We start from the raw sequence: 24,584 nt of genomic DNA, 5'->3' as shown, positions 1-24,584 counted from the left end.
CTCTTTCCTTTACTTATGTGCATATTTAAAATTTTTCAATATAGAACATTAAAAAGGGATCACAGATTTAAATGTAAAATGTATAAAACTTTTAGGAGACGGTATAGGAGAAAATCTAGATGACCTTGGGCTTAGACATGACTTTTTATGTAATGACACCAAAGGCACAAGGAAAGAAATAATAAACTTAACATTATTCAAATTAAAAATTTCTGCTCTGCAAAAGATATTGTCAAGAGAATGAAAAGACAAGCTACAGACTGGGGGCAAATATTTGCAAAAGACATATCTGATAAAAGACTGTTATCCAAAATATACATAAGAATGCTTTGAACTCAACAGTAAGAACACAAACAATCAAATTTTTTAAATGGACCAAAGTCCTTAACAGGCACCCATCCAAAGAAGATATAGAGATGGTAAATAAGCATATGAAAAGATGCTCCACATCATATGTGATCAAGGAAATGCAAATTAAAACAATAATGAGATACCACTACACACCTATTCAAATAGCCAAAAAACACTGACAGCACCAAATGCTAGTGAGGATACGGAGCAACAGGAACTCTCATTTATCACTGGTGAAAATGCAAAAGCGTACAGCCACTTTAGAGGACCAGTTGACAGTTTCTTACAAAACTAAACATGCTCTTACCGTATGATCCAGCAATCACGCTCCTTGGTATGTACCCAAATGAGTTGGAAATGTATGTCCACACAAAAACCTACACAGGATGTTTATAATGGCTTGTCTATAGTTGCCAAAACATGGAGAAAACCAAGATGTCCTTCATTAGGTGAATGGACAAACTGTGGCACATTCAGACAAAGGAATATCATCCAGCACTAAAACAAAATGGGCTATCAAGCCATGAAAAGGCATGGAGGAAGTTTACATGCATAGTACTAAGTGAAACAAGCCAATCTGAAAAGGTTACATACTTTATGACTCTAACTGTGTGACATCCTGGGAAAGCAAAATTATGGAAACAGGAAAAAGATGAATGATTGCCAGAGGTTAGAGGGGAGGGAGGGATGAACAGGCAGAGTACAGAGGGTTTTCAGGCAGTAAAATTACTCTGTAGGATACTATAATGGTAGATATACACCATCATAAATTTGTCCAAACCCATAGGACATCCAACACCAAGAGCAAATCCTAATATAAACTGTGGACTCTGAGTGATAATGATAAATCAATGTAGATGTATCAATGGTGACTGTCAGGCCTCTGAGCCCAAGCCAAGCCATCGCATCCCCTGTGACTTGCACATATACGCCCAGATGGCCTGAAGTAACTGAAGAATCACAAAAGAAGTGATATGCCTTGCCCCACCTTAACTGATGACATTCCACCACAAAAGAAGTGTAAATGGCTGGTCCTTGCCTTAAGTGATGACATTACCTTGTGAAAGTCCTTTTCCTGCCTCATCCTGGCTCAAAAAGCTCCCCCACTGAGCACCTTGTGACCCCCACTCTTGCCCGCCAGAGAACAACCCCCCTTTGACTGTAATTTTCCTTTACCTACCCAAATCCTATAAAACGGCCCCACCCCTATCTCCCTTCACTGACTCTTTTCGGACTCAGCCCACCTGCACCCAGGTGATTAAAAGCTTTATTGCTCACACAAAGCCTGTTTGGTGGTCTCTTCACATGGACGCGCATGATATTTGGTGCTGTGACTTGGATTGGGGGACCTCCCTTGGGAGATCAATCCCCTGTCCTCCTGTTCTTTGCTCCGTGAGAAAGATCCACCTACGACCTCAGGTCCTCAGACCGACCAGCCCAAGGAACATCTCACCAATTTTAAATCAGGTAAGCAGCCTCTTCTTACTCTCTTCTCCAACCTCTCTCACTGTCCCTCAACCACTTTCTCCTTTCCACTCTTCAATCTCTCCCTTCTCTTAATTTCAATTCCTTTCATTTTGTGGGAGAGACAAAGGAGACACGTTTTATCCGTGGACCCAAAACTCCGGCGCTAGTCACGGACAGGGAAGGCAGCCTTCCCTTGGTGTTTAGTCATTGCAGGGACGCCTGATTATTCACACGTTTCAAAGGTGTCAGACCATGCAGGGACGCCTGCCTTGGTCCTTCACCCTTAGCGGCAAGTCCTGCTTTTCTGGGAAAGGGGCAAGTACCCCAACCTCTTCTCTCCTTGTCTCTACCCCTTCTCTGCCTTTCTGGGGGAGGGGCAAGTACCCCTCAACCCCTTCTCCTTCACCCTTAGCGGCAAGTCCCGCTTTTCTATGGGGCAAGAACCCCCAATCCCTTATTTCCACGCCCCAACCTCTTATCTCTGTGCCCCAATCCCTTATTTCCGTGCCCCAACCTCTTATCTCTGCGCCCCAATCCCTTATTTCCACACCCCGACCTCTTATCTCTGTGCCCCAATCCCTTATTCCCGTGCCCCAACCTTGTATCTCTGTGCCCCAGTCCCTTATTTCCACACCCCAACCTCTTATATCTCTGCACCCCAATCCCTTATTTCCATGCCCCAACCTCTTATCTCTACGCCCCAACCCCTTTTCCCACTTTTCTGGAAGGTAAGAACCCCCGAACCCCTTCCCTCCATTTCTCTACTCTCTCTTTTCCCTAGGCTTGCTTCCTTCACTATGGGCAACCTTCCACCCTCCATTCCTCCTTCTACTCCCTTGGCCTGTGTTCTCAAAAACTTAAAACCTCTTCAACTCACACCTGACCTAAAACCTAAATGCCTTATTTTCTTCTACAATGCCGCTTGACCCCAATACAAACTCGACAGTAGTTCCAAATAGCCAGAAAATGGCACTTTGAATTTTTCCATCCTGCAAAATCTAAATAATTCTTGTCATAAAATAGGCAAACGGTCTGAGGTGCCTGACATCCAGGCATTCTTTTACACATCAGTCCCTTCCTAGTCTCTGTGCCCAGTGCAACTCGTCCCAAATCTTCCTTCTTTCCCTCCCGCCTGTCCCCTCAGTACCAACCCCAAGCGTCGCTGAGTCTTTCTAATCTTCCTTTTCTACAGACCCATCTGACCTCTCCCCTCCTCCCCAGGCTGCTCCTCGCCAGGCCGAGCTAGGTCCCAATTCTTCCTCAGCCTCTGCTCCTCCACCCTATAATCCTTTTATCACCTCCCCTCCTCACACACAGTCTGGCTTGCAGTTTCGTTCCGTGACTAGCCCTCCCCCACCTGCCCAGCAATTTACTCTTAAAAAGGTGGCTGGAGCTAAAGGCATAGTCAAGGTTAATGCTCCTTTTTCTTTATCCCAGATCAGATAGCGTTTAGGCTCTTTTTCATCAAATATAAAAATCCAGCCCAGTTCATGGCTCGTTTGGCAGCAACCCTGAGACGCTTTACAGCCCTAGACCCTAAAAGGTCAAAAGGCCGTGTTATTCTCAATATTCATTTTATTACCCAATCTGCTCCCGACATTAAATAAAACTCCAAAAATTGGAATCTGGCCCTGAAACCCCACAACAGGACTTAATTAACCTCACCTTCAAGGTGTACAATAACAGAAAAAAGTTGCAATTCCTTGCCTCCACTGTGAGACAAACCCCAGCCACATCTCCAGCACACAAGAACTCCAAACGCCTCAACCGCAGCAGCCAGACGTTCCTCCAGAACCTCCTCCCCGAGGAGCTTGCTACATATCCCGGAAATCTGGCCACCGGGCCAAAGAATGCCCGCAGCCCGGGATTCCTCCTAAGCCGCGTCCCATCTGTGTGGGAACCCACTGAAAACCGGACTGTTCAACTCACCTGGCAGCCACTTCCAGAGCCCCTGGAACTCTGGCCCAAGGCTCTCTGACTGCTTCCCAGATCTTCTCGGCTTAGCGGCTGAAGACTGACGCTGCCCAATCGCCTCGGAAGCCCCCTAGACCATCATGGACGCCGAGCTTCAGGTAACTCTCACAGTGGAAGGTAAGCCCGTCCCCTTCTTAATCAATACGGAGGCTACCCTCTCCACATTACCTTCTTTTCAAGGGCGTTTCCCTTGCCTCCATAACTGTTGTGGGTATTGACGGCCAGGCTTCTAAACCTCTTAAAACTCCCCAACTCTGGTGCCAACTTAGACAATACTCTTTTAACCACTCCTTTTTAGTTATCCCCACCTGACCAGTTCCCTTATTAGGCTGAGACACTTTAACTAAATTATCTGCTTCCCTGACTATTCCTGGATTACAGCTGTATCTCATTGCTGCCCTTCTTCCCAATCCAAAGCCTCCTTTGCGTCCTCCTCTTGTATTCCCCCACCTTAACCCACAAGTATAAGATACCTCTACTCCCTCCTTGGTGACCGATCATGCACCCCTTACCATCTCATTAAAACCTAATCACCCTTACCCTGCTCAATGCCAATATCCCATCCCACAGCATGCTTTGAAAGGATTAAAGCCTGTTATCACTCGCCTGCTACAGCATGGCCTTTTAAAGCCTATAAACTCTCCTTACAATTCCCCCATTTTACCTGTCCTAAAACCAGACAAGCTTTACAAGTTAGTTCAGGATCTGCCCTTATCAACCAAATTGTTTTGCCTATCCACCCCATGGTGCCAAACCCATATACTCTCCTATCCTCAATACCTGCCTCTACAACCCATTATTCTGTTCTGGATCTCAAACATGCCTTCTTTACTATTCCTTTGCACCCTTCATCCCAGCCTCTCTTTGCTTTCACTTGGACTGACCCTGACACCCATGAAGCTCAGCAAATTACCTAGGCTGTACTGCCGCAAGGCTTCACAGACAGCCCCCATTACTTCAATCAAGCCCGAATTTCTTCCTCATCTGTTACCTATCTCGGCATAATTCTCATAAAAACACACGTGCTCTCCCTGCCAATCGTGTCCGACTGATCTCTCAAACCAAAGCACCTTCTACAAAACAACAACTCCTTTCCTTCCTAGGCATGGTTAGTGCAGTCAGAATTCTTACACAAGAGCCAGGACCGCACCCTGCAGCCTTTCTGTCCAAACAACTTGACCTTACTGTTTTAGCCTAGCCCTCATGTCTGCGTGCAGCGGCTGCCACTGCTTTAATACTTTTAGAGGCCCTCAAAATCACAAACTATGCTCAACTCACTCTCTACAGTTCTCATAACTTCCAAAATCTATTTTCTTCCTCATACCTGACGCATATACTTTCTGTTCCCCCGCTCCTTCAGCTGTACTCACTCTTTGTTGAGTCTCCCACAATTATCGTTCCTGGCCCAGACTTCAATCCGGCCTCCCACATCATTCCTGATACCACACCTGACCCCCATGACTGTATCTCTCTGATCCACCTGATATTCACCCCATTTCCCCAAATTTCCTTCTTTCCTGTTCCTCACCCTGATCACGCTTGATTTATTGATGGCGGTTCCACCAGGCCTAATCGCCACACACCAGCAAAGACAAGTTATACTATAGTACAAGCCACTAGCCCGCCTCTTAGAACCTCTCATTTCCTTTCCATCGTGGAAATCTATCCTCAAGGAAATAACTTCTCAGTGTTCCATCTGCTATTCTACTACTCCTCAGGGATTATTCAGGCCCCCTCCCTTCCCTACACATCAAGCTCAAGGATTTGCCCCACCCAGGACTGGCAAATTAGCTTTACTCAACATGCCCCGAGTCAGGTAACTAAAATACCTCTTAGTCTAGGTAGACACTTTCACTGGATAAGTACAGGCCTTTCCTACAGGGTCTGAGAAGGCCACCACAGTCATTTCCTCCCTTCTGTCAGACATAATTCCTCAGTTTAGCCTTCCCACCTCTATACAGTCTAATAACAGACCAGCCTTTATTAGTCAAATCAGCCAAGCAGTTTTTCAGGCTCTTAGTATTCAGTGAAACCTTTATATCCCTTACGGTCCTCCGTCTTCAAGAAAAGTAGAACGGACCAAAGGTCTTTTAAAAACACACCTCACCAAGCTCAGCCACCAACTTAAAAAGGACTGGACAATACTTTTACCACTTTCCCTTCTCAGAAGTCAGGCCTGTCCTCGGAATGCTACAGGGTACAGCCCATTTAAGCTCCTATATAGATGCTCCTTTTTATTAGGCCCCAGTCTCATTCCAGACACCAGACCAACTTAGACTGTGCCCCCAAAAAACTTGTCATCCCTACTATCTTCTGTCTAGTCATACGCCTATTCACCGTTTTCAACTACTCATACATGCCCTGCTCTTGTTTACACTGCCGGTTTACACTGTTTCTCCAAGCCATCACAGCTGATATCTCCTGGTGCTATCCCCAAACTGCCACTCTTAACTCTTGAAGTAAATAAATAATCTTTGCTGGCAGGACTATGCTGAATCTCCTCAGGCACTCTCTAATCAGATATCCTGAGTCGTCCCAATTCTTAGACCTTTTATACCTGTTTTTCTCCTTCTGTTATTCCATTTAGTTTCTCAATTCATCCAAAACCGTATCTAGGCCATCACCAATCATTCTATACGACAAATGTTTCTTCTAACATCCCCACAATATCACCCCTTACCACAAGACCTCCCTTCAGCTTAATCTCTCCCACTCTAGGTTCCCACGCCACCCCTAATCCCGCTTGAAGCAGCCCTGAGAAACATCGCCCTTTCTCTCTCCATACCACCCCCAAAAAATGTTCGCCGCCCCAACACTTCAACACTATTTTGTTTTATTTTTCTTATTAATATAAGAAGGCAGGAATGTCAGGCCTCTGAGCCCAAGCCAAGACATAGCATCCCCTGTGACTTCCACGTATACGCCCAGATGGCCTGAAGTAACTGAAGAATCACAAAAGAAGTGAATATGCCTTGCCCCACCTTAATTGATGACATTCCACCACAAAAGAAGTGTAAATGGCCGGTCCTTGCCTTAAGTGATGACATTACCTTGTGAAAGTCCTTTTCCTGCCTCATCCTGGCTCAAAAAGCTCCCCCACTGAGCACCTTGTGACCCCCACTCCTGCCCACCAGAGAACAACCCCCCTTTGACTGTAATTTTCCTTTACCTACCCAAATCGTATAAAATGGCCCCACCCCTATCTCCCTTCGCTGACTCTCTTTTCGGACTCAGCCCACCTGCACCCAGGTGATTAAAAGCTTTATTGCTCACACAAAGCCTGTTTGGTGGTCTCTTCACATGGACGCACATGAAAGTTACAAGTGTACTGCTCTAGTTGGGGCTGGGTTGATAATGGAGGAGGCTATGCATCTGTCGGGGCAGGAGACACATGGAAAATCTCTATACCTTCTGCTCAATTTTGCTGTGAACCTCAAACTGCTCTAAAAAATGAAGTCTTAGCTGGGGGCAGTGCCTCACACCTGTAATCCCAGCATTTTGGGAGGCCAAGGAGGGCGGATTATAAGGTCAGGAGTTCAAGACCAGCCTGGCCAACATGGTGAAACCCCGTCTCTACTAAAAACACAAAAAGTAGCCAGGCATGGTGGCACATGCCTGTAATCCTAGCTACTTAGGAGACCGAGACAGGAGAATTGCTTGAACCCGGGAGGCGGAGGTTGCAGTGAGCTAAGATCACGCCACTGCACTACAGCCTGGGTGACAGAGCGAGACTCCATCTCAGGAAAAAAAAAAATGAAGTCTTTTTTAAAAAAAGTTAAAAGATTCAGCCCTGTAGCAGGTCCCATTCAAGGACTAAGTAATAGGCTGCAGAAGAAAGGGTGGAAGGCTGCGGAATTGATCTGGCTGAATACCCTGAAGGCACTAATGAGAGAGGAGGCTGGGTGTCCATCCTTCTTCCATTAACTGCTTTGGGAATACCAGAAGAGCCCCATAATGATTTTACTAACGTCAGAGTTCCTCCTTGGAGAGATGGAATTATTGCACATCATATCTAAAGGTGGACCACAAACCTTGAAATCAATTAGACAAGGTCCAGGAAATTATTTTCTTTTGCTTCATATAAGTTTACTTGACCTCATCTTCCCCAATGGGCAATAGTTGGTGTACGTGCCTGTACATGTGTGCGTGTGTGTGTGTGTATTTGTGCATGTGTGTGTTTTGTAGGCTGTTCCATGGATGTTTTTAATATGGGCTCTGGAGGTTTGCTGCAAAGCTAAATTGGGTGAAGAATGAAGACTCATTGGTAAATATTTCTTTATGTGCCTATTTCCTTGAGTAGACTGTGACCTACTCATTTCTGTATCCCCTGACCTAGCTAAGCTAGCACAGAGCCCGCTCTCTACTAAGGGCAGAGGGAATGCTGGTTGAATGGGGTTAGAATGATACTAAAGAATGGGGTTTACCAGATGTGCCTAGAGGAAACCAAACCCTCGATGCAACCATGTTGACAAGAGCACACATTTTAGATTCAGACACACTCAGGTTCAAATCCTGCTTCATACAAGGAAACCAGGTGGTGCTAGGTCTGTGATTGTCTCTGCGTCTCAGTGATAGGGTAGGTACCTCTGCTGAGCTACATCAGAATGCTGAGCATTGTGGTGTGACCATGAACCAGAATATAAACGTGCTTTGGGAATAAAGTTACATTTAAATGCATTATATAATTGTAAACATTTTAGAGATAAGTGTAAGAATTATGTGCAGTTTTTAAATAATGGAAGCAATTTGTTTCAAAATAATAAATGTCTTAAGGTAATTTTTAACCAAAAGTCATAGCTGTTTAAGTCCAAAAGCCTCACAATTACTTGAAAGTAATGATTAATCATTTCTTCCCTTCTCAATTGAAAATAGATACACTGGAAAACACACTGGTGAACAGACATGAGGACTGCACAGGAGAGTCTGATAACAGGAGCTGAACAGCTTTGAGGTCTGTGGCCAGCATCAGTTGCAAAAGTAGTGCTGTATTTCTTCACTCTTTTTTTCTGGCTAAATATGTATTTTTTCAACTATCTCTCTAATACCATAGGAAAGCTCTAAATGTCATTCCGTTTTTCTTAAGAGATAAAAATAATGCACATCTGAGCTCCTATCCCAGCCCCTTGCCAGGATTTTGGGGGTCAACATAATCTGTCCCCAGGGCAGGAAATGGTATTCCAGCCCTTAAGATCAGCCTAAGCTTTCAAATCCTGTGCCCACCTGGAGGCTCTAAGACCTCCCATACATCAACCAGCCATGGCCAAGACCAAGGCTAGCATATTGTGTTCTACTAGTCATCAGTGTATCTGACTTGCATTTTAGGTACCAGCTCAGCCACAGGTGGGAAGAGCATCATGTGGGCTCTTCGGGCCCCGACTCCAGGCCTTGGCTCTTGGATGGCATTTCCAGACCTGGCTGGGCCACAGGGGAGCCCACTGCTCTGAAGTGGTGAGTCCCAGGTTTGGCAACATCCACTGCAATCTGACTGAAGAGCCCTTGGGCCTTAAGCAAACATCGGTGGAAGCCTGGCAGTACTCCCTGTGGGCCTGTAGTGGTGGCCATAGGGTGAGGCTCCTGTGCCTGTGGGAAGTAGAGGGAAGAGCAGGAAGAGTGGGCCCTAGAGACAATGAGCCTCTTGCTTTCTGTTGCCATCATTGAAAGGAAGGAGAGATATCTAGGGCCATGTCAGCCATACACAAGGCTGCTAAATGTGACCTCTTCACTGGACAAACATCAAGAGAAGGGGAGGGCTCTCCTCATAGCTATAACTTGTGGATCGACCTTGGACACAGCTTGATGACTGGAGCCCAAAGCTGCTGCATGTACCAGGCTGTACCCCTTTGCTTTAGGGGTGGGCTCTCCCTCTTTTAGCCTCATACTCTAGATCCTGGAGGAGGGCAGAGGAATTATGACTCAGGTTGGCAGCTCAAAGGTATTTGGAGAAAGGCACACAGGGTTATGAATGAGCTTTTCCCACCTTTTCAGCCTCCCAGCTAAGCCCCACTTCCAGGCTCCAGGAAGTCCTGCAGACACAGAAGCAAGTCCTAGACCAGTATCAGTCATTCCTAGGCAGTCAGAGACTCCCTGGAGTGAGCAGTAGAACCCTGTCTCAAGTTCTTCCTCTTCGATGCTTTATCACTTATCATGTTTGTCTATAGTGTGAATAGAATATTCAATCATTTATTTACCCACTGATTTATCAACTATCTATTAAACTCTTTCTGTGTTACAGGTGTCAGGCCAGGCTCTGGGGGAAGAATAGTGAATGAGATATCTCTTTACCTTTAGGATCTTTCCAGGCTAGGGTGTGTGTGTGTGTGTATGTGTGTCTGTGTGTCTGTGTGTCTGTGTGCATTGGTTTTTGTTTGGTTTAGTCTGGTTTGGTTTGGTTTGGTTTGAATTCTTTGTCTCAGTGCCCAGTGAGATAGATGCCTCTTTGCCTTCATGGTCCTTCCAGGTCAGGAATTTTGTCTGTGGATTGGTTAGTTTATTTGTTTGGTTAGTTCCTTGTTGCAGTGCCCAGGATGGTAGCTGATCCTGAATGGTTGTACAGCGTGTCTGTTATTACTAATGAAAATGGCCAGGCCCACCCACGTGGAGCGCTGGACCCAGGACACTTCATGCCTTACGAGACTCATTCTCTGCCCCCTTCACTTTCCCTAGAAGGTAACATCTAACCAAAATGAACAACAAGAAAACCTTAGGAAATAAACAGAAGGAAATTATCCGAAGGGGCAGCTTGCACCTGAAGTGCAGGTGAGGCAGCATGGGGTGTGGGGACAAGCAAGGAGAAGAGGTTGCTGTAGACCAGCAGTAACGATATTCTTGGTATGTTAACTTTTCTTGGTATGGGAACTTTAAAACCCTTTCCACAGGTTTTAATTAGTACCTCCTACTTCCCTTTCTGCCATCCCCTTGCCCCAAAGTGGTTCTAACTGCCTTGTTTTAAAACATCACAGGGCACTAGAAAACCCCAAGACCAGGATTGAGCATTCCTTTCACTCAGCCACAGGAGAGGACCCAGGAGCCAAAAGAAGCCAGGAAGCCCCATCTCCTCTCTCTGCCATCGGCAGCAGCACTGCTACCCAGGCAAATCCTTTTTCTCCTGTTCCCCAAGTGAGGGCTCCTGACAGAAAGCCAGAGCTGAAGTTTAAAACAATGGCATGGAATGGAATCCTACACCTCTAATTGGACAAAACCAGAGGAAAGTATCAGAACGGGGCAAGAGGACATCCACAGAGCAAGGAGGCACAGAGGTTGGCTTCATAGCTGAGCACCCTTGAGTTGTCTCCTAACTTTTCTGTCTTGTATCACAGTTCCCTACCCTCAACCCATAGGGGAGTCATGAGGATCAAGGAAATAATCCATGCAAAAAGCATTTCCAAAGTTCCTGCCTTAATTTTTTAATCTATAAAATGGGTGGAGCAACAGCATCTACCTCATAGGGTTATTGCAAAGGTTAAATATACATAAAGCATTTAGAATAGGGGCAGAGTTAAGAGTAAGCATTTATGGCCGGATGCGGTTGCTCACGCCTGTAATCCCAACACTTTGGGAGGCCACGGTGGGTGGATCATGAGGTCAGGAGTTCGAGACCACCCTGGCCAACATGGTGAAACCCCATCTCTACAAAAGATACAAAAAAGTTAGCCTGGCGTGGTGGTGGGTGCCTGTAATTCCAGCTACTCAGGAGGCTGAGGCAGGAGAATCGCTTGAACCCAGGAGGCGGAGGTTGCAGTGAGCTGAGATCAGGCCATTGCACTCTAGCCTGGACGACAGAGAGACTCCGTCTCAAAAAAAAAAAAAAATAGCATTTATATAGGATTTGTATAAGCATTCATTATTGTAACAATCGGGTCTGGGCAGGGCATACATAGTGCAGATAAGAGTTTAACTGAAGAGTTATTTAATGTTGATACTATTTACACAGGTGGTAGCAGGTTTCAGGAATCAATGAAGCATGGTGAAAGGACCAAGAACTAGCCTGAGGCTGGAGCTGTGCAAGAGGCAAGGTGGGGATTGGAGGAATGAACACACCAACCTTTCTCTCCTCCCACCTTCTGATCTCCTCTGTATGTCTCCATTGCCAAATCAGCCAGAAGCAGAGGGCAAGTGAGCCCACATGAAGCAGTCCATGGGTTCAGTTTTGGGGGGGCATAGAGCTTGGATCTGATGGAGGAGAAAAACCAAGATAACTAGCACAGCTATTCTTAGCAGTGAAGTTGGCATTAGTATTAATATTAGTATTAACCATTGCAAATTAATATTATTGCTATTACCATTGTGTATCTCTAGTAACAGGACCTGTTTCTTTTATTATAGATCTGAGTTTTCGGCTTTGTGTATATTTTATTTAACGGGGCCTGACTTTCTGTTTGAAAGATTTGTTGATGTGGCTCTTTTCATTTGAGCAGCTGTTGTTGCCAATGAATTAAAGAGTAACCAGGGCTCAAAGTGATTTGAGTCTGGTCCTGATTTGGAATCCACTGTGTGGAGCCCATCCATCCTCAGGAACCTCAGTTTCCTTTATTATAAAAAGGAAAAAAAGTTATAGCTCTTACAGCAGAGTTGTAAGAAAGACTACCCTGCCAGAACTGTTCAAATATGAGGAATTGGCAAATATAAAATTCTAAAATATTTCTTAATAATATGCACAAGTTCTGACTTAACAAGCATGGCATATTGTGACTACCCTGTTAAAAAAATCCGCTGATCATTTTTCACAACTTATTTATTCTTGGTGCCTATTTCCTTTCCAAGGAAGGAAAAGGGATAAAAGAACTTTAACATCTTTTTTCGTTACCAAGTGCTTTTTACATTATTCCTGAAATTCACTTCTACACGCAGAATATATTTAGGAGTCTGCCTTCTGATTTAAAATATATATTTATATGTATCTAAATCATTTCCTATAGACTTTTTAAGCATTTTGTTCATCTAAATGTGTATGTTTCTGCTCTAATTGAAATTCCTAAATAGTCACTTTCTGAACTGTCAAAATTGTAAAGCTGTTGATGGGTGCAGCTCTGGGGTTTCCATGGTAACTACTTTCATTGCCTAGGAGATGCTGGTCTGCTGATACTATCACTGAACTGGCTCAAATCTTGAAAACTTGGCGGTGCCCAAAAATGTGGAAGCATGTCCTGAAAGTTTAACGGGCTTTTATTTTTAATGGCTGGCACCAAGCGTGGCCTCATCAGGGCTTGGGAAGAGGCAGCTCTGTTTCGAGGTTCTTCATTGTGTAGAGGATGGGAGCTTTGACAAGCATGCTAATACTACCAGATCCTCTTTGGATGGTAAGCTTTTATGTGAATAGCTCCTAAATAACATTACCATCACTCACTACTACTGGTATGGAAATTGAGTTAGGATAACAGAGCCTGAGTTCCCCCATGAGATAACAAGATGCTTCTGAATATAAGTCAAAATTGGAGTATAGATTGTCTCACAACTCTACTGTTTTTTGTTTCTTTTCGTCTTTCTTTCTGTTTTCTCTTTTTGTCCCTCTCTTTCTCTCTTGTCTGAAGAGTCTGGGACGCTGAAGGCTATAAACATCATGGTTTGTTACACACTTTCGATGTCTGCTCAAATGTGGTGTACCATTTCTAAACCACCTCCTGTTAAACCGTTTGTGGGAAAGTTACATTTAAAATAAATCATTTCATGATCAGCAGTTTTATTGGTGCGTGGTCAAAAATTACCCAGGGAGAGAGAAATCATTTAGTTCACCCTTTTTTTTCCTATCCTAGGAACTCGAGTTTTTTCTAATTACATCCGGAGGATCATTTAAACAGGGTGGTCCATTTTAAAGCAGTCACATTTAAATCTACTTTGCATTAAATGAGCTTGCTTTTAGATGAGTTTGGCTGGCTCAAGAATACATCACAAAATGCAAATCTGATGATAAATAAAGCTTTGGCTACATCGTAGAAATGGGGAGCATTTCAAAAAATGATGTTAGCACTGACTGCTAAGTGAAATGGCATTCCCTGAACACTCCTCATATTTTAAACATTTAAATGTATGCTACTAAATCAAATATGTCCATTTAATATGTGGCAATTTGTAAGCCACACAAAATAAGAAGATGAGGTGCTAGTTTTTCCTCACAAGTTAACACTGGTGAAAATACAAGGGTGGAATAGGGCTGTGAGAAGTCAAAAATAGGAGGAAATGGCTCTGCATACTTATTTGAGGAGTGTTTTGAAGTCGCTAGCAAGCAGAATGTGAACTGCTGTGTGCCAATTATACCACATCTCCTTGGGACCTGAAGCTGTTGAGTTGATGCCTTCTTAGGCTTGGCTCCTAGAAGAAGATAGAAGTCACGAAGGGGTAAAATATTAGCTACGACTAAAAATGCTTTAATGAACGGTTGAAACAAACATCTCAGACTTTATACATGCATAAAACAAAAGATTCGTCCCTTTAAAGGATTAGCCTTCTTACTACTTTAAAGTATTACGCTTGTTAGCCAAAGCGATTATTACAATGATCCCGCTGCCATTGTTCAGATTTTTGAATGCCAGTTTCCACTTTTTAAAAAATTGCTTTCAAAAACTGCGACATGTCTGGGGCATTTTTTTTTTGTATTATACTTTAAGTTCTAGGGTACATGTGCACAATGTGCAGGTTTGTTACATAGGTATACATGTGCCATGTTGGTTTGCTGTACCCATTAACTGGTCATTTACATTAGGTGTTTCTCCTAATGCTATTTCTCCCCCGACCCCCACCCCATGACAGGCCCTGGGGTGTGATCTTCCCCGCCCTATGTCCATGTGTTCTTATTGTTCAATTCCCACCTATGAGTGAGAACATGCGGTGTTTGGTTTTCTGTCCTTGTGATAGTTTACTGAGAATGATGGTTTCCAGCTTCATCCATGTCCCTGCAAAGGACATGAGCTCATCCTTTTTTATGGCTGCATAGTATTTCATGGTGTGTATGGTCTGTGGCACATATTTCTAATTATTTACCAAAACTTATTCTTTCTTCTTTTGTATTATGTGGAAGCTGAGTATGTGGCTTCTATAATAGTAAAATGGCATCTGGGCACATGGCTACTCAGCTGGTGATTACCAGGTGTGGCCACGTGACTAGATTCTTAACAGAAAATAGAAGTGCTATGAGTCATTTCCAGACCTTGGTACAAAATATTGCACATGAGCTCTCCATGACTGTTTCCATCTCTCAGGAACCATAGGAACCCAGCATCGACCTAGCAGATGGCAGCTACTCTAATTCTTATGCTGGTAATACAAGAAACCTGGGTCCCTGGATGACAGCGTGAAGTAGATCCACCCTGCCAACCAGGTTCTTTTTTTAAACTTGTCACAAGAATGTAAGTTTCCTTTTTCTGTAAATACCACTGCATTGTTGGGTCTTTGGGTACAGAATTCCAAAAAAATGTAGGTAATGAAAATGGTGTCTCTAATGAGAAACAAAACCTAGTTGGAAAAGTAAGTCCTTGTATAGATGTTTAGGAAGGAGTTTCATGAACTTATAGTTAGTTATTGTACTAGGTTCACCAAGTGAGTGAATCAGAAGGACACAGAAAAGTACCTGGAAAGGAGTGACAGGAAGACAGGTGAAAGAAACATTGGAGAAAACACAATCAAAATTAATCAGATCCAATATTGTAATTTTTTAATACAGGATATGTTGCTCTAAGCTTTTTATGTTCAGCCTCACTTTTACATTCTTCTGCATATAATAGAATCCTACATAACTGAGGTGTGTCTGGGAAGGACATTTTGTGAGATTTTGTTGCCAAAATACTAAACTTTCAGAAGGATCTTAATAGGTCCATGTTTCAGTTATCTGCTGCTGTGCAACAAACCAGCCTAAACGTAATGGCTTAAAACTGTAATTTATGGCATATCACAATGCTGCAAGTTGACTTAGGTCAGCTAGGATGGTCTTCTACTCCATATGGTATACTTCGCATCACTGATCTGCCTGCATTCAGCTGGGAGCTTGGCAGAGAGGGGAACTTCCAAGATGGTCTTTCATCCCTCAGGCTCTCTCTCAATACAGCTCCTCATCTTCCAAACATCTAACCTGAATTTCCTAAAAGCATGACAGCTGACTCCCAAAAGGGAGCATTCCAAGAGAGAAAAATTAGAAGCTGCCAGTTCTTGAAAGGCTTGGGCTCAGAAGTTTTAGAATGTCACTTTTGTTAGTCAAAGCAAGTCACATTCAAGGGAGGGAAAAATAAACCCACCTCTTGAGGTGGGGGACAGCTTGCACCTACAGAAAGGGAAGGTGTTGTTGTTGGCCCTAGTTGGAATGCCTACTACAGACATTATACAGAAAATAACTGGTCATTATCCCCAGTTCCTGGCACACAGCTTCAATAACCCTTGGACTTTGCTGAATGATAGAACTGTCTTGTTATTCATAACAAGCCTCTTTCTACCATACCTGAGTTTATGCTAATAAGGTAACTTATTACAGGGCTCTTAGATAGTTTTAGGATGGGAGCTGGTCCCCAGATAAACCAACCACATGATTAAAGAGTTAGAATTTCAGCCCCACTCTGAACCTCTGGGGAAGGTAGAAGGACTAGAGGTTGGGTTCAGTCACCAAGACCCAGATAAACCAACCATATGATTAAAGAGTTAGAATTTCAGCCCCACTCTGAACCTCTGGGGAAGGTAGAAGGACTAGAGAGGTTGGGTTCAGTCACCAAGACCGGTATTTAAATAAATCATGTCTGCATAATGGAACCTTAATAAAACGCTGAAACAGAGAGGCTCCAAGAAGTTCCTGGGTTATGAACGCATCCATGTGCTGGGAAGGCAACATACCTGGAATTAAGTTGTTGGATGTTTTCCACATCTTTTCTAATCCCTAGGATCCTAGGCACACAGTTTGTCCACAATATATTCTCATTGTCTTGTTGTGCTGTTTTATCAAATCTTACCTATCTTCAACTGCCTTTGGACTGACACATACTGGACCTGAGAGATCAGCTTCCTGTCCACCAGAGGCTTGGAAGGCTTCCATAAGGAGTCCATGGAAGCTCTGCACCCCACCTCTACCCCCAAGGCCTTGCCCTGTGTATCTCTTTCTCTTGCTATTCATCTGTATCCTTTATAATAAAATGGTAACAGTAAGTATAGTGCTTACTTGAGTTTCCTAAGCCATTCTATTGAATTCTTGAGCCAGAGGGAGTTGTGGGAACCCCTAAATTTGTTGCCAAGTCAGACTGAAGTGAGGGTAGCCTGGGGACCCTGTTTGTAGCTGGTATGTGAGTAAGGGCAGTATTATTAGGGACCTTGCCCTTTACCTTGTGGGTTCTGATGTTAAATAGGGATAGTTAGTGTCAAAATGTATTGAATTGAATTGTAGGACACCCAGTTGGTGTCAGAGAATTGCTGTTGGAATGCAATCACCAAATAGAATCACCTTGTGGCTAAAACAAAGGTTGCAAGAATGCAGAGGGCTTGGATTAAATTACTTACACTGGTATTGTCCATGTGGCTCTCACAAAGATTTAGTTTTCTTATTGTAAAAGAAAAATACCTATATTCAGGTCTAATATGCAATTTAAATACACAGGAAAAAAACACCTTATAAACTGAGCAACACAAAGTAAATATTAGCGACTATTATGGGCCAGATGCTAATATAAAAACAAAAATCTTATTTATAACCCAACAAGAGCACTGTGGCCAGATTTTTACCCATTTTCAAGTCAAGTGAGAGAAATAATGAATGTAGATTCCCAAAGCTAAAGATATAAATTTGGTCCTACGTATCTTCTGTGTGCATGTCTGGGATTTTTTTCAACCAATTTTTTTCCATTCAGTTCCAGGCAGAAACTTGACAATTTCTTCTCATGAATCATCTTTCTATGGCACTATTCCACACCCGGCAGAAAAATTATGTGAGGCCACGGTCTTTGCTGGCTGGCACTCAAAGAAAACATGCAAAACTGAACTCCATGTGGTCTTTGAGCCATCCCTCAGATCCTGAATTCCCTCAGCCCTTGAACCTGAGTTGGGTTAGTGGGAATCCCAGCTGGGTGCCAGGGAGAAGGCTGCTCTCAGGACCCAGCAGAAAGGGATGGGACGGAGCAATGTGAGTAAATGAGGGACATCTGCTCCCGAGATTTTGTGGCACCCACTCATCAGAGGTAAAATGAGCCTGTAACATTTTTAACAATTCAAGCCTCTGGTGGACAGGAAGCTGATCTCTCAGGTCCAGTATGTGTCAGTCCAAAGGCAGTTGAAGATAGGTAAGATTTGATAAAACAGCACAACAAGACAATGAGAATATATTGTGGACAAACTGTGTGCCTAGGATCCTAGGGATTAGAAAAGATGTGGAAAACATCCAACAACTTAATTCCAACATATATTAAGTACTTCCTTTTTACCAGTACAGAGGATGCATGACATATAGTTTCATATAGTCAAGGTACAGTCACCGATGTAGAGTTTCAAATGTTCTATGTACATGCACGCACACACATACACACACATTAGAAGAGATGATCTACTCTTCTCTTGTTTACATGCTTTTCATGAAGCCCTTACAAAGAAAACCAAGAACAATTCCTCAAAACTCCATGCACAGCTTCCTCTTTGTGGATCCTGAGACTTCGGATGCTGGGACTAACTAGCCACTCACCGAGTCAAAGCTGGTGTGCAGAGAAAACCATTTCTCTCTTGTTAAATGACCTCGCTTCATCATAAAACCTTAAAAAGAAAGCTTCCAGATCATTTGTCTCCATCACAAAACTTATAAAAATGAGATGGAAAAAAAGTTAAATTATTTTGGCTCATAAGTTTCAGATGGAGTTGTATATTTCCCTAAAGGGTCAAAAATAGAACATTTATTAAACGACGAGTTATTCAAAAACCGGCACAGGCCCCAGTTGTCTTTCAAAAGCTCTGATTTACTGCATATTTCTCCCTTGAGAAAGGCCTTTTTTAAATGTTCATTTCCATTTTAAGAGACTGTGGGCTTTGATCTGTTGGGAGCATTCTTTTTCTTTCCCTGACTGGGGCCTGTCGGCTACTCAGGCCTGTGTTTTTCCATGGCCTTCCCCAGCATTCACACGGCATCTCCTGCATCTGCGTTCACCCTGGCTAATTTGGAGGTCAGAACTGGTGAGTCCCTGTAGCAGGTGACACCAAGAACCAATGAGCCATATTTGCTCTTCACACCTCAACAAAGATGCTGCTTCCAGGAGGTAAGAGAAAGGTGAGATGGGCTTGGGTGTCCCTACAACCTGCAAAAGCTGTCAAGTCCTCCTTTAAAGTTAATTTGAAATTTCATAATAAATTTAATCTTGTTACTCCAGGAAAGTCAAGGCACAGTCACAGTGATATTAAAATGTATTTTGCTTTTGAAAGAATCAGGTCCTTCTTTTATTTTTTGAGACAGAATCTTGCTCTGCTGCCCAGGTTGGAGTACAGTGGGATGATCATAGCTCCCAGTAGCCTCAAACTTGCCATCCTCCTGCCTCAGCCTCCTGAGTCGCTGGGACTACAGCTGCACACCACCACTACACCTCACTACTTCATGTCTTTTTTTTTTTTTTTAACTTTGTGTGGGTAATATCGATATGTGCTTGGAGTCTGCTGGCCATGAGTTTTTCTATTCCAGACAAGTTGGAAGATCAAGGGTGAAATGGGTCATTTTTAATATCAAACCTGTTGCCCTGCTTTGTTTTCAAATCACACCACTCTTCACCCTCTGGCCCCACTAGGCCTTAGTGCAAATTAGTAAAAACCTCCCCCTTGAGGGGCAGATACAGGGCCCTGCCACTGTGTCCATCTTGGTGAGACACCAAAGGCTGGGTTTTAGTTCCCACTTGCCTTATAAACACAGTTGTGCCTGTACTCCCACTTTGATCCCCCCTGCCCACAGGTGCCCAAAATACACACACACATACACACACACACACACACAACCCTTGAAATGACTGGAGTAGCACTAGATGATTCTTCCAGTGCTAAACAATTTATTATTTACCCACCTCTTCCTTTCCTCCTCTCTTTCCTCTTCTTGTCCTCTTCCTCTTCCTTTCTCTCTCCATTCTCTCTCTCTTCTGCAATAATACAGTGAGTGTTTGTGTAAGTTTCAAATCCAGCAACCTGAAGATTCGCCTCCAATGGCACAGGGCTGGACCGCACTCAGAGGTGGCTGCCACCCAATCGTCACTCAGCGTTTTATCGCTGGGCTATTCTGTTCGAGTGCTAAGCAATTGTTCACAGAAATAAGATAATGGAAAGAGCAGAGACAGAATGAGCAATGGAGAGAGTCGGGCCTACCATCGCGCTTACTGCTGTTCGTCACAGGTAAATGACACATACAGGCTTAAAAAGCAGCTCTCTCTTTTTTGTAGCCCATTTTTGTTTGTTTGTTTGTCAGATTACATGTTCGATCAATTGCGACAAGCCACTGTACCATGCAAGGCATTGTGCAATCCAGTATAAACCCAAACCTCCATGGGCAGAAAGGAAACCCATCCACACTGCCCTCTAAGGGCTGTTAACCACTGTGAAGAGAAGAGATCACCAGGGATTTTTTTCCCAGATGACTTTCTATGGCAGGGAGGGAAAGAAATTGTGTTCTCCAGGAGAAAGTGGTTAATTTTATTTTATTTTATTTTATTTTATTTTATTTTATTTTATTTTTGTAGCTGCAGGCAATCTGTGGATAAGTGGGTATTACCATCGTGGTACATCTCTAATTAATAAGATCAATTGCCACTGTATTTTCTTTTACAAACTCATTTAGATATGTCAGGGCTGCAATTATTTTGCGAATGATCTGTCTTTACGCTTATTCATCTTTCCTCTTCCTCAAGGAGCAAATAAAACTGTCAGCTTAAATGCCCTTTGAAGTCTGTTTTAAATCCTTGATTGAAAATTAAAAACAAAGCTCTCTAGCCTGGTGCCATTTCCAGGGTCAAAGTTCCTGTCCTCACATTGCTTTGTGTGTGTGTGTGTGTGTGTACACAGGCACGTGTGTGTATTGATTTCTGTTTTTAAAAAGGTAACATGTTGGCTTCTGAATCCCAATGTTGCACCCTTTTCTTTTCATCTCCTTAGATCTGCAAGAACTCTGAACTCATAGATTATGTCCAAACTGAGAAGCACTGGACAGTCATTTTGCTTATCTGCGGTTTCTCATTTCTGAGAAGAATCTCCATATGGACATTATCACTTTTGTTATAATCTCGAGGATGGTTAAGGTAGCTTTGATCGCCACTTTCATATCTCCTGTGATAATCAGCACCAATGGAATGTGCAGAAATCCATCCCTATTCCTAAGGACTCCTGATGTCATCTCACCAGGTGGGACGGTTTGTCCTGCTCGAGTCTGCACGCCCAGCTCCAACAGCTTCGCCCAAGTTTGGGGACAGGCTTCACCCAACACCCAGAATCTGTGCAGTTATTTGGCCCCTCATTGAAAAGCCTCTCACGGTTACAGACAAAATTAACTTGGTCATCCCTGCAGCGCCGGAGGGATACTTCTGGACTCTCTGTTTGGGGAGTGTACGCTCAAACCGTTTCAAGAAGAGATTTAAACCTCTTCTTGGAGAAGACTGAGGCTGGCACAAGGCTAACAAATCAAATAACTGCACCGAGGCAAAGCTGCCGTCTCTCCCGGGCTGTACCCTGCCTGCTTCTCCCATCCCTGCCTTCTGGCCGATTTGTCTTTAAGGTTTTAGCATTATCCCTCTGTTGACAAATGAATGCTTTTCTGGAAGATGAGGTATTTCCAGAAGCAGGCAGACACTGGCTGGAGCGCCGTAAGAGCTCTGCCTCCCTCGATTCGTTATGTGAACGGGAGAGGCCTGGAGGTTTTGCGCGAGCATTACGTTCAAGGTGATGATAAATGGAGTCTGGCCGGGGTGGTAATAAGGGAATTTCTAGCCAGATCCTGTCTAGACCACGGTTTGTTATGGAGGGAAAGCCACAAAAGGGGGCTATAGTACCCCGTTCCTCAGAGAAATTGTCCTCAGGGAGAGCCAAGCACATTTCCAGTCCGAACCTTCGTCCGGCCCCTCACTGGGGCCGCTGTAAATAACATTAGCCTGTCTTTCAGCAAGCTCTGGGAAGCTTATAAACCGAACACGGTTTTTGTTGTCTGTAGTTGTGCATTAAGCTCAGTACTGTCAAGTCTAATTATTCTCATTAAGGCCTGAAAGTTTTAGGGATTAATTAAGCAGAGAGCCAAAGCTTATGCAGAACAGCAATATTTTCCCCCTGAAGGATTAGCCCGTCATTCTGATGGGGTTTTCCTTGAGCGTTGCCCATTACTTTATAAGATAGCAAAGTGTGGAGCTCATATAATATGGATTAGAAATCGCCTACATTTCACATGTGCTATTCAGCCATGAAAATAAGTCCTGGCCCTTGTGCCTGTAACCCGGAAGGCTCACTAATGAGAACCAGGCAGTGGGGCTAATGAGAAATTCAATACGTGCCGTCTCTCCTTCCCGTTTCCTTTCAATTTACTTTCTACAGGAGCCAATATGTGTAGGAAAAGTCTGAGTGGATGCTGGTATTCTCCTCTTTACCTGGTAGGGATCTTAGAAATTATCTGATTCTAGTCCTTCTTGCTATAGAAGTGAAAACTGGGATTCAGCAACCTGCTTAAAGGGACCCAGTTAATGGCAAAGCTACTTGAAGAGAAGGTGACAGGAAACTTCAGGAGGTGTAGACAATCATTAGGTACATTAGGATGGTGAGGGTACTTAGTCTTAGGTTTTGGTGTGATGGAAAATGCCGCAGAAATGAGAAGGTCCCACAATGAAAGGAGGATGCTGGTGAGGACCTAATTTGCAGACGAGCCCCAGGAACTCTGGTGCCCTGCTTGGCAAAGGATTTCAAGGCTTCCTGGAGAAATGGGGGTAGGGGGAGGGATCGTTAAGCCCTGGCACCCCAGATATAAAAAGGAAAGTCAGACGTGGGTAATCACCCTGTCTTCACCCAGCAGCTCCAGTTTTCAGCAAGGCAGAGGGGACACTTCTGCCTTCAGTCTCCCCTACTTCACATCAAGGCGCCGTTGCATTTGATGGCTCGGGACGCGGCCTTCCTGCCTCCCACACTCCCAAATCCATGCCTTGTTTATCTTTTTAGAATGGATCTCTGATGCCTGCCCACCACGCGGCTGGAGTGGCGCCAGCATCCCCAGGGCACGTCTGTGATGACCGATGAGGTCCACCACCTCTACCCCAGACCCTCCCATACCCAAAGGCTCCCTCTGCCCAGTGAAGTCCCCTTCGCCCCAGCATTCCTGCACCAGGCACATCCCAAGGGTGGCCCCGTGTCCTGCAGGTGGCAGGAGAGTGCACCCTCCTCAGACACCAGTCTGATATGTCACCAGGAGAGAGCGGGCGGTCCTCAGTGTATGCTCTTTTCTTGTCTCTGGGGAGCTTGTTTTGGCTCCTCAAGAAGACCTTGGAAAAAGCACAGGTTGTAGAGGCGGCATTCGCCGGGCAGAACCATGTCCCAAGACAACTGGTTAGTGAGGCCAGGCGTGACAATCATAATCGGAGCAGCAACTGTGCAATGGCATAGGCAAAGGGGGCCGAAGGCGCAGCAGCCACCACCATTATAGTCAGACTGGGCACCGTTTCCTAAATGTCACACATCCTTCCAGCCCCTTGATCTTTGCTTATGAAAAGGGTCATTCCCTCTACAATCCTCTAGAACTCTTTGTAGGTTTTTGTTTGTTTTCCAAACACTGTACTTGCTTCTTTATCTGTCTCTCTATGAACCGTGAGTCCCAGAGGACCTCGTGGTCCTCAATTATCCTTGCTTCTCTGTGGCCTGTGCCATGGGGCTGAATGTTTGTAGCCCCCAGAATCCATATGTGGAAGCCCTAATCCCCACTGTGCTGGTATTAGGAGGTGGGGCCTTTGGGATGTGATTAGGGTTAGATGAGGGCATGAGGGTGGGGCCCTCATAATGAGATTAGTGACCTTATCAAGAGGATGAGACACTAGATCCCTTGCTCCCTCTCTGCCTGCAATCACCAGTGAAAGGCCAAGTGAGGACATAATAGAAGCCATCCCTTCCCAGAACCCAGCCATGCTGGCACCCTGATCTCTAGCTTCTCAGCCTCCAGAACTGTGAGAAATAAATGTCTGTTGTCTACTCCACCCAGGTCGTGGTCATTCATTATAGCAGCACAAACAGACTAAGACAGTAGGGAACAGTGATTGTTACATTATAGGTGCTTAGCTAACTTGCTCACTGATCGGCTGAGGTCTCTCCCCTGCCATTAAACAGTGAACCAACAATTAGTTAGCAAATGCAATTTCAGCTTCTACTGAGGGAAAGATAATACACCCAGCAGTGTGAAGAAATTTCTTTGCAGAACCAAACTAAAGGTCCAGGTTACTAAACACAGCATTAGTTTTTCTCAAATCAGTATGTGTTGTTATACAGGCAAGCCTAATTAATCATATTTCCAGGGTATACACTGAATAATCTGAGAGAAGAAATCAATTACCTAAATTCGTGGTTCTCATAATTCGAAGCAGTCGAATTTCAAAGTGTAGGTTTTAAATCAGAACTGTTGATCGTGACAGATGGGGACATGGGAGGGAGGTGTGCATTTTAAATTTTAAAGAAACGTAATTTTATAGCAACCTGCATCTGTTAATAGGTTACATCTGTATCTTTTCAATGTTGCAGACATATAAGGCAAAAGAAATATTTTATAGATAATTCAACTAATTGACAGGCCTTTTGTTATTTCTTTGTTTTTTGGGGTTTTTTTGTTTTGTTTTGTTTTTGGTTTTGGTTTTTTTGGTTTTTTG

General features: G+C 44.0%; 2 long non-coding RNA genes across 3 annotated transcripts, besides 4 other annotated features; one reads left to right on the top strand and one right to left on the bottom strand.

Moving 5' to 3' along the window:
- Window positions 1,011–1,651: an enhancer, noted in NCBI's record as "OCT4-NANOG-H3K27ac hESC enhancer chr6:14302628-14303268 (GRCh37/hg19 assembly coordinates)". NCBI's record gives its function as "activates a minimal SCP1, AML or CMV promoter by ChIP-STARR-seq in naive H9 embryonic stem cells {active_cell/tissue: H9 hESC(naive)}" and the evidence as "EXISTENCE:reporter gene assay evidence [ECO:0000049][PMID:30033119]".
- Window positions 1,652–2,291: an enhancer, noted in NCBI's record as "NANOG-H3K27ac hESC enhancer chr6:14301988-14302627 (GRCh37/hg19 assembly coordinates)". NCBI's record gives its function as "activates a minimal SCP1, AML or CMV promoter by ChIP-STARR-seq in naive H9 embryonic stem cells {active_cell/tissue: H9 hESC(naive)}" and the evidence as "EXISTENCE:reporter gene assay evidence [ECO:0000049][PMID:30033119]".
- Window positions 4,798–5,323: an enhancer, noted in NCBI's record as "H3K27ac hESC enhancer chr6:14298956-14299481 (GRCh37/hg19 assembly coordinates)". NCBI's record gives its function as "activates a minimal SCP1, AML or CMV promoter by ChIP-STARR-seq in naive H9 embryonic stem cells {active_cell/tissue: H9 hESC(naive)}" and the evidence as "EXISTENCE:reporter gene assay evidence [ECO:0000049][PMID:30033119]".
- Window positions 6,522–7,190: an enhancer, noted in NCBI's record as "OCT4-NANOG-H3K27ac hESC enhancer chr6:14297089-14297757 (GRCh37/hg19 assembly coordinates)". NCBI's record gives its function as "activates a minimal SCP1, AML or CMV promoter by ChIP-STARR-seq in naive and primed H9 embryonic stem cells {active_cell/tissue: H9 hESC(naive and primed)}" and the evidence as "EXISTENCE:reporter gene assay evidence [ECO:0000049][PMID:30033119]".
- LOC124901266 (uncharacterized) lies at window positions 11,682–18,227 on the bottom strand. The gene is made up of 2 exons (XR_007059465.1): window positions 13,980–18,227; window positions 11,682–11,961 (listed from the first exon to the last, which is right to left on the bottom strand). It is a non-coding gene; the product is annotated as an uncharacterized LOC124901266 (long non-coding RNA).
- A 366-nt stretch (window positions 18,228–18,593) lies between these two features.
- LINC01108 (long intergenic non-protein coding RNA 1108) lies at window positions 18,594–23,921 on the top strand. 2 transcript variants are annotated; one of them, NR_108096.1, is made up of 3 exons: window positions 18,594–18,992; window positions 19,868–20,103; window positions 20,860–23,921. It is a non-coding gene; the product is annotated as a long intergenic non-protein coding RNA 1108 (long non-coding RNA). The 2 variants fall into 2 exon arrangements; NR_108097.1 differs by lacking the exon at window positions 19,868–20,103.
- Window positions 23,922–24,584: the final 663 nt, after the last annotated feature.

The sequence above is a fragment of the Homo sapiens genome, chromosome 6 (assembly GCF_000001405.40).
Source record: "Homo sapiens chromosome 6, GRCh38.p14 Primary Assembly".
Taxonomy (NCBI): Eukaryota; Metazoa; Chordata; class Mammalia; order Primates; family Hominidae; genus Homo; species Homo sapiens.
Note: the sequence above shows the minus strand (reverse complement) of the source record. Positions and strands in the feature narration are given on the sequence as shown.